This window comes from Homo sapiens, chromosome 2 (assembly GCF_000001405.40).
Source record: "Homo sapiens chromosome 2, GRCh38.p14 Primary Assembly".
Lineage (NCBI taxonomy): Eukaryota > Metazoa > Chordata > Mammalia > Primates > Hominidae > Homo > Homo sapiens.
The window spans coordinates 213545111-213558459 of NC_000002.12; the positions used below are offsets into that span (position 1 = coordinate 213545111).

The 13349-nt window shown below is 33.6% G+C and overlaps 1 protein-coding gene across 19 annotated transcripts in view; it reads left to right on the plus strand.

Moving 5' to 3' along the window:
- SPAG16 (sperm associated antigen 16) overlaps positions 1-13349 on the plus strand; it is a 1126038-nt gene that overhangs the window by 260647 nt on the left and 852042 nt on the right. The window lies entirely within an intron of this gene.

Below are 13349 nucleotides of genomic sequence, written 5' to 3' on the forward strand. Positions count from 1 at the left end.
AGTTTCTGTTGATCCACATCCTTACCAGCATTTTGTGGTTTATGGTCATTCTAACATGTGTTTAATGGTATTCATTGTGGTTTTAATTTGCATTTTTCTGATGACATATGATGTAGAACATCATTTCATTTGCTTATTTGCCATTTATATATCTTTGGTGAATCTGTTAAGGTCTTTGGCCCATTTTAAAATCAAGTTGTTTATTTTCTTATTGTTGAGTTGTTGTAAATGCCTTTTGTTTATTTTAGATAATACTCCTTTATCAGTTGTGTGTTTTGTAAATATTTTCTCCCAGTCTGTGGCTTCTGTTTTTATTCTCTTGACAGTGTCTTTCATAGAGCAGAAAATTTAATTTTAAGGAAATCCAGCTTATCAATTTATTTTGTGAACTCTGCCTTTGGTATTGTATCAAAATAGTCATCACCAAACCCTAGGTCATCTAGATTTTCTGTTATGCTATCTTCTAGGAGTTTTATAGTTTTACTTTTACATTGAAACGTGATCAATTATGGAATCTTTGCAGTTTTTTCTGCTTGTATCACTTCTGCTTATCTTGAGTTACTTTTTATATGTTTATCTACTTTGGTTCCTGTTTTTTTATGTGGGAGGTTTTCCTTTATTGTTTGGTGATCATTGTCTCACCATTATGTCTAAGAATGAAACACTTTACGCTTGGGAGGGGTTTGTGTGATGTGATGGCCCAAAACAAACCATCATTTTAACTGGAGAATGCCAAATGTTGATGTCCATAGGTCTTTTCTCTCTGTAGAGAATCACCTTCCATATACGAACTTCCAGGAATATAAGCCTGGTTTCTGGTGACCCAAAGCTGATTAGCAGAGGACTTGGGGGGAAGGTCACTACTCTTTTTTTAGAATGTCATTTTCTCTTTTTGTCTTTAGTTGGGTGCCTTACCTTTGCCTTACTTTGAAATGGGGTCCAAGTGTTGAATTTTTAAAAATAATATATCTTGCAATTTTTCTATGAATGAGGATGTGAGACCAAGGACTCTCAGGCCTAACTGCTTCTTAAACAGACTAGTCAATTTCTCTACTTTTACTTTAATTTACATGATTTTTTTAAATCCTCTTTTGTATCCCTCTCTGTAAACACTTAGGCTTGCTCTCTTCTGTTTTGCTAAGTCATTACCATTTCTCCATCTGTTTCCTGTTCATTATATTGCAGGGTGGAATTACAGGTGCCCCTTTTTTTTAGCAAGCATAGCATGTGTTATTACTCTCTTTGTTTTTTGTTATATCTTTACCTTGTTGTGTTTAAAGCAGAAGTTAGATATGTATTTTTTCTACAATGCATTTATTTATAGTGCTCAGATTAGTCTCTGAACACAGAAAGAATTTCATAATAGTTTCAGATTGAACATTACAAACATGTAATAATCACAATTTAACTCAACAAATATTTTACTAAATCTCGGTAACTGTGCTAGGCAATGGGAACTCCATTCTTGTGGATAATAAACAAATAAAAACTATATGAGAATTGGAGTTAGTGGTAAGTGCTATGAAGAAAAACATAGGAGATATGACAGAGTGGATGTATATTTTAAAGAGTTTGTTAAAGCGGCCTCCTCCTTGTTTCTTGATATTTCTTTTTAAAATATTCTTGTAACACAAGGACCAAATGAATCACTGAAAAATTCACTCAGAAATAAGAGTGAGACTTGTAACGGTTAGTAGGGGTTATAATCACCGTACAAGAAGTATATCTCTTCTCGTTGCTTTGTCTGCCTTTGGCGAATTGGAAATATAAACCTGTTTAATGAATGTGTTCTTAAAATACCCTTTGGAAGTTTAAATTACTATTGAAAAAGCTGTATAATGCAGTTATATTCCTTTGTTTATGTAGCTAGAAGAGAGAAGGAAAAGAACCTGAGGCTAATAGAAATAGATTACATTTCACTATGGAGCATAGATTAAAATAATGTATTTTATTGTGGATCTCCCTTCAGAATTCAAACTAAATATCATTTACTTTTTCTATTTAAGTAATAACCTCAGGGCTCTTTAAAAAATCATTATCAGAAGATAACCTAATATATCATTGATATAGTTTCTTCCTATCATTGACAAATATCATATTAGAAATACCACCTTTTTATAGTCTTGAAATAATATAATAGAAAAGGGCTCCAAAAATGCAATTGTTCCAGTAAAAATAGTCATGGTGTATTCTTTATTTTATCGAAAGAGAAATAATATTAAATCCTTCCCTTGCATTTCTTTGAAAGTGAATACTTATTTGGTCTACTCGAATTAATAATTTATTTTCTTTTGAATGTTTTGCAGATGTTTATATATCAGTAGTTTCATTTAAAAGAGCTCTTAAATGTCAGTACTTTTCTACTAAAATTAGTAAACATAAACATTTAAAGTATTCTAATATCATTTTAACCTATTTTTTAAAGAACAGTGTAATTGATTTTTAAATCATGACATTTTAAATCATGGTATACAGAAAGAGTGTGATTTTAGAGTAAAGAGTATTTTTAATTTGAGAATTAAATCAAATGGCTATAAAATTGTATCTATAAAACTAGGTACACAGTGAAATTCCCATTGTCAGCATGGTCCTGTCTCCACCCAGGTACCATACTCCACCTGCAAGTAACCATTTAATATATTTTTTCGTATCCTTCGGAGGATTCATTTATATGCAAACAAGCTTGAACATACATTCTTATTTGCCCTTATGTACCTAAAATTTAGCTTATTTTAAGGTTGCTTTGAACATTGTTTTTATCACTTACGTCTAAAGTTCTTTCTAAATTGGCATAGAAAGAACTTCATATCTACATTGTAGTATTACGTTGTATAATATACCAAGATTCATTTAATCTGTTTCCAATTGGTACATATCAGCCTTTTGTCCAATATTCTGCTACTGCAATCAATGACCTATATTTAAATTGTTTTGGACATAAAACTTTACAGGGAAAAGCCCCAGAAGAGGAATTACTGAATGCAAGGGTCAAGTTCTTGTAATTTTGGTGAATATTAATATTGCCAGATTTCCACTATTGTATCATTTTTACATTTTTAATTATTTTATATTACCCCCACCAAAAAATTGATAGTTTATTTCCTTACAGCTTTTTTTTTCGGGGACGGAGTTTCGCTCTGTCGCCAGGTTGGAGTGCAGTGGCGCGATCTTGGCGCACTACAACCTCTGCCTCCCAGGTTCACGCCGTTCTCCTGCCTCAGCCTCGCGGGTAGCTGGGACTACAGGCGCCCACCACCATGCCCGGCTAATTTTTGTATTTTTAGTAGAGACGGGGTTTCACCATGTTGGCCAGGATAGTCTCAGTATCTTGACCTCGTGATCTGCCCGCCTCGGCCTTCCAAAGTGCTGGGATTATAGGCGTAAGCCACTGCGCCCGACCCTTACAGCATTTTTTCAAGATTTTCGGTTTCTATCTATATGATAGGTGCGTAATCAAATACTCACGACAGTTTTTAGTTTCAGTTATCTTATTATAAATGAGATTGAGAATGATTTTAAAAGCTACTATTTGTGCTTTCTGTTCTGTAGATTTTCTGTTCATATGTTTTCTCCATTTTTCTTTTGATGTGGTTATTTCAGTTTCTATGAGCCCTTTTTTGTATGAGATAATTTATTTTTGTATGGTATAAACTTTAAATATTTTCCCATTTGTCATTATCTTTCGAGTTTGCTTATAGTCTATAATTCTTAAGTTTTGAATAAAAAATTATAAAAACTGTTTTCATGCAAACTTTTGAAGGGCTACTCCCGTGTTTGATAGTTTTATGATTGTATATTTTATATTTTAATATAAATGCATTTGTCCTGGCTTGTCATATAAAGCGTGAATGCCACTTTATTTTTTTTCCAGATGACACTGTTTTGTTCCAATAAAACTTTTATAATTATTCTTTTCTCGTTATATTTAAGATGTCACCTTCATGATATGCCATATACTTGAATGCTTTTTCTTTCTACCTGTGGTCTATGGAACTCAAAATGGAACTCAATTTTAATATGACCAATTTTGTTTGTAATCCTATTTATTTCTTTTCTGTTTTAAAATGTTATTCTTCAAAAAGACCTATAATATAACATTCAAATAGGAATTTTTACATTATAGATTTTAAATAATTTTCCTATGATCTATTTAAAAATTTTCTCTTATATTATTTTCTCTAAAATATTAAATTACAGATTTTATTTGATGCATTATTAATAAAAGTTCAAATTTATGAGTTTCTAAAGGTATTTTAATAGTTAATTTTGACAGCTATCTCATCAACATGTCTAAAATTTTATTATTTTCTCTTACTCCTATTCCTTTGTCAAGGCTCAAATCAGGAGTCACCTCTGTTTCTTACTTCTCACTCTGCAGTCCTATTGATTCTGACTACTAAAAATATCTTAGTTTCTTCACTTCTCTCCAACAGCAACTTGGTTGTCTCTATCTTAGACAAAATTGCCATCACCACTCATTTGTGTTAGTCCAACATTCTCCATGTGGAAGCTAAACAGATCTCCTAAAGAAATGAAAGTAATCTTGCCCCATCCCTTACTACCAACTTCAAAAACTTGAAAGGCTTCTTACCTTGCAGTAGTAGTGTTTGAAGTACTCATATCTCAATATCTGCTAATATGCATTAAAAACAAAATAGAACAAAACCTCATCAGTTAAATATTTTAAAAAGGCATTTTAATTGTATGTATATGTCTGTATTTGTGTTCATTTTATTTATAGTAAGGTTAAAAAATTTGTGCTTTACTTGGATATTTGTTATTTGAGGGAGGTGACATATCTCTTCATATAATTTGTTCATATTATTTTGTCTTATTTTTTGTAATAATTTAATTAAAAATTTTAAACCTTATTATGCCACTTAGGGTCTGAATATTTTTATAGTTGTATTTGACAAAAAGATGCTTTTAAGTTTTTACATTTATTCACATCTATCAATACCTTTATGAGTTTGGGTGTGTATGTGGGTGTGTTCACTGGCAAATATTTACTTATTTTATTCTAACACCATATTTATGTTACTTCCTTACTTTTACAATTTTATCTGTAATTTGTTTTTATATAATTTGAATTAGGAATATCACAGACTTTTTTTTTTCAGAATTAATCAGCATCATTTATTGAACAATGCTACTTTTCCACCAATTTTTAAATTCTATGGTTATTTATATTCAAAGTCCTAGTCTTCTTTCTATTATAGTCTGACCATCTGACACTATTTTAACACTATTCAAATTATGCGCTTTTAATGTATATTTAAATATTTCTCCTTATCTTAGGATTTTCATCTTCAAGAAAATCTTTAGCAATTCATTTGGTTCCTTGGGAAAACATGCTGCTGGTACTTTTATTTGGAGTGCATTTTATTTACAATATTCTTTTAGAGAATTTATGTCTTTTCAATATTGATCAATCTCATGGAAGAATATGTCATGGCATTCCACTTACTCAAGTATACTTTTTTATCTCTCAAGAAATTCTTGCCATTTTCATCATATCAGATCTACAAAATTCCTTTAAACTTATATGTAGTTATTATGCATTATATTCACTGTTACAAATATTATGTTCCAACTTTTATATTCCTTATTTCACTTAACTGTCTAAATTTATTGGCTATGGGGAATAAAAAATAGTAAAGCTAAAAATGATCACCTTTATATCATTGCTGACTTTAATGGGAATGTACCTATAGTTAAAATAATAAGTATGATATTACCTGTGAATTTGGAACAGCCATTTTTAATCATGATTATGAATTATACTTTTATGCATATTTTAAATTTTCTTTTTAAATCAAAGTTTTTTTTACTTTTAGCATTTTAAATATATCTAATAAATACTTTTTATGTATTACTATAATTGAGAGATAGCTCATGAAATCAAGATATTTTAGAAAAATTCAGAATTTTCCTAACCGTAATAGTCAGAGATTTGGAAAGCCCAACTCTTAATTTTATTTTTCTTTGCTTATTCCTTCTTTTCTTCTATTGCAGACAGTTTTCTTCATGTTCCAAAAATTAAGCTACTGAAAGCTTTGGTCGTTTGAGAGACTCCTCTGAAGCTCCTTCTGGCTCCAAGTCCAGAAATCATTCAGAAGGCTTTTCTCCCAACTTTTGGACCAAGTAGTCTGGACCAAGATAAATGTGTTTCATTGCACAATATGGCTTATCTTGTAGTGATATGTGATTTTTCACTGGCATTAGGGGGCATTTCCCAAGAAAAGTACTGGCAGGTGGTCTTCATTTCAAGAACTCTGCAGTATTTTACTTGTTGAGTGCTATTTGCATTTATAGTGTAAATGAGATTAGTCAATGGGATTTTTAAAATTTACTATCAGTATTATTTTTAGGTTTTGGTATCAGAGTATCAGAAATGTTCTGGCCTGATAAAATGAAGTTGGGACACTTCTGTCATCTCATAATTCTGTCAAAATCTGTGCAGGTTTCTATTCAGATCTTTAGATACTTAGAAGTGGGCAAAGTTTCTATTTCCTATAGTGTTATTCTGTTAAGTTGGGTTTCAGATAGCCATAGGAATAGAGAGAGTTCCTTAGAAGGCATCTGAGTTGAAGGGACACTCACTTTTTGCTGACCACTTTCTTTTCTGTGGTTGTAAAAGCAGTCTGAATTTTTCAACAGTGACGTCCCCACTCCACTTCTATATTTGACCTGAATACCATTTTGAAGAACTAGCTGAAATAATGCCAGAACCTTGCCTATCATGTCAAATCTGTCAGGTAATAGATGAAGATGAATACAGTTTTTAGAGTCTCCCTTGACTATGCCCAGTAGCAATTCCCAAGATCTTTATAGGCTTGGGAATTCTATGCCATATTTTGCACTTGTCTAAATCTGCCTCCATTCATGCTACTCCAAGTTTGGGCATACTCCCTTCACCTTTATTTGGTCTTCATATCAGTTGTTTGTAAGAAATAGGAAGTAGGAAATAAGGAAGGTGTGCAGAGATATTTGGTCCTATCAGAAGCTTATTTTTCCTTTGTCTCCTCCTTATTTTTTGTTTTAGGTCAAAGCTAGTTTAGCCATTCTTATCTGCCTTTCTTGAATTTGCTCCCTGCTTTAGTATACAGACACTCTGCGCCCCATAAATCATGGAAATGAGCATTAATTTTACATTTTGAATTGTGGACTCTGCAGGTTTCTAAAATTGCTTGATTTCCCTACCCTCCACCAACCAACAACAAATATCTACTTTCTTCCCGAGCCCTGCTTCTTCATGCTATGGACATTTCTGCAGAAACTGCTAGAATTCTATCACTAACCTTCCTGGTGGGGCTCTCCTTAGCATATGCTCTGGTTTTACATGATTCTTTATTTTCTCAACTCTAGTTTTATATGATTCTTCATTTTCTCAACTCAACTGTTTCTGTGTTGAAATATTTATATATTGATAAGCTGTGTTTTCCAGAGCTGATATAATTTATTCATTTCAAAAACATATTCTCAAACAGTGATATCATCAAGATAGTGGAGTAGGATTGTGATGTTTAATATTGAGTGTCAACTTGATTGGAGGATGCAAAGTATTATTCCTGGGTGTGTCTGTGAGGGTGTTGTCAAAGAAGATTAACATTTGAGTCAGTGGACTAGGAGAGGCAGACCCACCCTCAATCTGGGTGGGCACCATTTAATCAGCTGCTAGCGTGGCTAGGATGAAAGCAGGCAGAGGAACGTGGAAGGACTAGACTGGCTAAGTCTTCTGGCCTCCATCTTTCTCCCATGCTGGATGCTTCTTGCCCTCAAATGTCAAACATCAAATTCTTTGGCTTTTGGACTCTTGGACCTACACCAGTGGTTTGCCAGGGGCTCTCAGGCCTTCAGCCACAGACTGAAGGCTGCACTGTCAGCTTCCCTGCTTTTGAGGTTTTGGGACTTGGACTGGCTTCCTTGCTCCTCAGCTTGAAGACAGCCTATTGTGGGACTTCACCTTCACCTTGTGATCGTGTGAGTCAATACACCTTAATAAACTCCCCTTCATATATACATCTATGCTATTAGTCCTGTCCCTCCAGAGAACCTTGACTAATACAAGGAGACACTAGCCTTCATCTGTCCATACACAAAAAATATGGACAACTATTTACAAACCAAAATACCCCAGAAGCAGCCCACAGTCACATTAAAGAATCTGCAGCAACCCAGTGGAGCAAAAATATGGAGAATATCCACATAGAATCACTGGTAAGAACAGCATACCCAAGTACCTGAGATGCCAGAAGAAAGCTAGGAGTAAAGAAGAATGGTATAGGCTATCAGCATGGTTCATTGACAGGAACCGCTGTGGTTACCAGTATCCTGGTCCACAGAGAACACAGGCATCTCTTGCCACTGAGGTAACCAATAGCCTCAACCACTTTAACAATCCTCTGTTAAAAGAGGGGCTGCACGCTCCTCCCCTTCAAGAAGTGGCCACTGTTGAAAGTAGAGGTGCTCCTTTCTCAAAATGTATACCCATCTCTTCCAACCCTGAGTATATGCACTGACCCTGGAACTGTGGCTACTTCACGAGTGACCATACCCCAGACCTGGGCTCTGTGACTACAATAGGCGTGATCATGTTTCATATACCACAGCCATTGCCATAGTGAGCTAGATTGTATTGCAAGACCCAGAGCCAAGTCCTCTCTGTGGATGCCCATCCTCTAGACACAAGCTCAGCTACTCTATAAAGAGCTAGGTTCTGCTCTAACCTCAGGGCCATTTTAACTCTGCATACACCTGTGCACTCCTGCAGACTCCTCTGCTGCTTTACAAACACCCTTTCTTTGAATACTGTTACAGACTTGGCAGTGGGGGAGTCAGTGCCCCAGGTACCAGTTCTATTATCACCCTGGGTTCCAGAGCCATAGCCCCTTCATGTTTGCCCATGCTTCAGGCCTAACCTCACCTCTCTGGCCTCTCCATCAGATACCAGTACCACCACCACTACAAATGAGTACACAAGACAGATACAGTTCCAGGACAGATTCCCCTTAGTAACAACTTCTCTGGTATGAGAAAAGGAGGTCATGAGGACATTAAAAAGTATCACCATCAAAGACTCTAACAACACTTGCTGCCACTGTGGACATATACAGTGTTGGTTGCTGAGGATCCCCTGAAATCTTCATCAACACTGACCTCAGTTACCACAGCAGCACAGAGACTACATTTCTGGCATTCTCACTGGTACCAGAAAAGCTGCACTTTATCCAGTAAGTTCCCTTGCAACAACCCTAGACAAAGGTCTTTCCACATGGAAACTAACTTATAAAGTCTGCAAGAGGTCCAACAAATGTGCAGACATCAATGTAAAAGCAACAAGAAACATAGAAAGCCAATAAGATTTAGCATTATGAAAAGAACACCATGATCACCCAGTAGCTAATCCCTCTAAAAATGGAGATACGAGAACAGCATGACAAAGAATTCAAAATAATTGTTTTATGGAAGTTCGGTGAACTTCAATAAAATACAGATAAATAATTCAATTAAATAAGAAAAATAATAAGCAACAAAAATGATAGAGAAATCAAAATTATAAAAAATAACAAACAAAACTTCTAGAGCTGAAAAAATACGATGCAATGGAAAGTGTCAAAGCAGAATTAGTCAAGCAGAAAAAAAAATCTGTGAATTTGAAGACAGGCTATTTTAAAACACAAAGGAGAACAAAGAAAAAAAGAAAAAAAATTAATGAAGAAAGCTTATGGGCTTTATTGGATAGCATCAAATACAAATATTCAAGTTATAAGAGTTTAAGAAGGTGAGGAAAGAGACCAGAGGTAGAAAGCTCATCTAAAGAAATGATAGCACAAAACTTTCCAAACCCGAGAAAGATAAAAATTATTCAGGTACAAGAAGGTCCAAAATCTGTAGTCAGATTAAATCCAAAAAAGACTACACCAAGACATAATCAAATTATCAAAAAACAAATAAAAAGAGGGGACCCCAAAAGCACCAAGAGAAAAGAAGCAAATAAGGTAGTTCCAATAAGACTAGCAGTGCACTTCTCAGCAGAAACCTTATAGTCCATGACTAAATGGTATGATATATTCAAAATGCTGAAGGGAAAAACAACCTGCCAACCAAAAATAAGTTTTATCCAGTGATATGGTTGGGCTTTGTGTTCCCACTCAAATCTTAAATTGTAATCCCTATAATCCTCACACATCAAGGGCAGGAGTAGGTGGAGGTAATTGGATCATGGGGGCAGCTTCCGACACACTGTTCTCATGATAGTAAGTGAGTCTCACAAGGTGTCATGGTTGTATAAGTGTCTGGCATTTCCCCTGCTTGCACTCAGTCCATCCTGCCACCCTGTAAAGAAGGTGCCTACTTCTCCTTTGCCTTCCACCATGATTGAAAGTTTCCTGAAACTTCCTCAGCTATGAAGAACTGTGAGTCAATTAAACCTCTTCCCTTTATAAATTACCCAGTCTCAGGTATTTCTTCATATCAGTGTAAGAACAGACAAATACATCCAGCAAAGCTGTCTTTTACATATGAGACAAGATACATACATTCCCAGATGAATAAAACCTGAGGGAGTTCATCATCACCAGACTTTTCCAAGAAATGCTAAAGGGAGCTGAAAGGATACTAATGAGTCACACAAAAACCCTGAAAATATAAAACCCACTGGTAAAAGTAAGTAAACAATCAAATTCAGAATACTCTAATAATGTAATAATACTGTGTGAATCACTTGTATCTTTAGTATAACGGTTGAAAGACAAAACTATTAAAATAATAATAGCTAAAATAATTTTTAAGGGGTAAAATAAAAATATGTAAATTGTGACATCAAAAACATAAAATGGGGGGTGGAATGAAAGCATAGATTTATTTTATGCAATCAAAGTTTTTGTCTGCTTAAAATGGCCTGTAATAACTGTAAACTGTTTTATGTAAGAATTTTGGTAAGCAAAATGCAAAACCTATAGTAGATACTCAAAAGATTAAAAGCAAGGAACCAAAACATATCACTGGAGAAAATCACCAAATCAGTAAAGAAGACAGCTAAAAAATGAAGAAAGGAACAAAGGACCTAAAAAACAACAGCAACAATAACAAAATGGCAGTAGTAAGTCCTTACATATTAATAATGATCCTCAATATAAATGATTACATCTTCCAGTCAAAAGATGTAAGGGGGCTGAATGGGTCAAAAAAAAAAAAACCAAAAAAAAAAAAAAACAAGATCTAACTATATGCTGCCTACAAGAGCCTCACTTTACTTCTAAAAACCATGTATAAAAGTGAAAGGTTGGGAAAACATATTCTATACAAACAGAAACCAAAAGATAGCGGGGATAGCTAAACTTATATCAGATACAGTAGATCTTAAGTCAAAAACTACAAAAAGAGAAAAAGAATATCATTATATGATAAAGGAATAACTTCATTATGAAGATACAAAAATTATAAATGTGCACCTAACATCAGAATACCTAAGCATATAAACCAAATATTAATAGATCTGGAGAGAAAGAGGCTGCAATACAATAATGGAAGGGGACTTCAATATCCAACTTTCAACAAAGAATACATCATCCAGACTAGAAAAATAATAAGGAAACACTGGACTTGAACTATACTCTTTAGACCAAATGGACAAAACAGACATATGCAAACCATTCCATCCAACAGCAGAACAATACATTTTCTTCTCAAGGGAACATGGAACATTCCCCAGGATAGATCATATGCTAGGCTACAAAATAAGTCTTAACACATGTAAGAAGATTAAAATGATCAAGTATCTTTTTTTTGAAGATGTTCTTTCTTCACTTCTCTATTCATGTATCTGCCAGATTTCCAAAATAATATCAGTCATGATAGTTTTATATCAAAAGTCAAGAAAGTATTTCACTGACATAAAATATTTAAGACTAAGCATCATGCTTGGAATATGCTCAAATTAGTATAGCATAATATAAAAATTAAGCATATGTTATTTGTGGGTTTTTTTCTCAGTAAATAAGTTGTATTTTCCAGTCAGGTGATTGAGTAATGGACCATGTCAGACAAGCACTGCCTTTAGATCTCTGAAATCTGCCAGCTAATGGCTATCTCTATAATAATGAGTTACCTATCACCTTTTTAAATCTCTTACCAGCCCTTTCCTTGCTTAGTCTTTGTTATTGTTTTATTGTAAGCACATACACATGCACAACATATGCTCTGTTTCCTGCAATTTTATATACATGTAATATTTTGAGACAGCTTTGAAAGTTGGAAAATTGTAAACCTTTCAAATATTTTGGCTTATTGACTACATTTTCATGATGGATAATTATATCTAATTATAATTATATGTGTATATATAATTATATGTATACCATTAAGAATAGAGTATTCTGAAAACGTTTTAAATTGCTGAGTCTTTCCAGGGAATAGTATATGAAAAAAATTAGAATGAAAAGTAAAGGCAAGAAAAGTTATAAATGGTAAAATAAAAAGCAGTAGTTTATACTTTTTAAATAAGTTTACATTAAAAAAAATTGAGTTGAAGTCTCACTCTGCTGCCTAGGCTGGTCTAGAATTCCTGGGCTCAAGCAATCCTCCCACCTCATCTTCCTGAGTAGCTGGGATTACAGGCATGTGCCATGGTGCCCAGCTTGAGTTTACATTTTGAAAATACTTCTTTTTTCAGATTCAACAAAATCTGCCTATTGACTTGTTTAATCCTATCAAATTAATTTTCTTCTCTATATTTACATTTAAAATGCATTCTTATGTGATTATATATTTGCAGCATAATCCTATTCTTTCTAAAGGGATTTTTTAAAAAACAAGGAAGTCATCAGAACTAGAGTAAAATGTTCATTATAGGCATTTTGTGAGTTTTCATTTCTGAACGATATTTATTTTTTCTACTTGGCATGTAAGCAATTTTTTTAAAAACAGCATTTCAGAGGAACAGATTAGATAGTGATCCAATGAATGAATACTTTATAAATCTTGTTTTTGTACATTTTATTAGTTCCTTATAAACATATTAGTGCTTGAATGAATGTAAACATATTAGGACCTGATAAAGTAACTATGTGAAAATTAGCCCCATAGCCACATTCCCCTTTCATCTTCCACAGAGCATCATACTAACAGGTTCTAAAAATTTTAAAAATGAAACAGATGAACTCATTATAATATATTTAAGCTTAAGATGTCTTTTGAAAATCACTCAAAATTTGGTAAGAAATCATATGTTTCTAAGATAAAGAGAACAAGTTGGAAGCTTTTTATTCCATAAATATTATTAAATGCTTATAATAAAATATGAATAAAATGTTTTAACTACTTCTAATTATTGATTTAGCCTTATT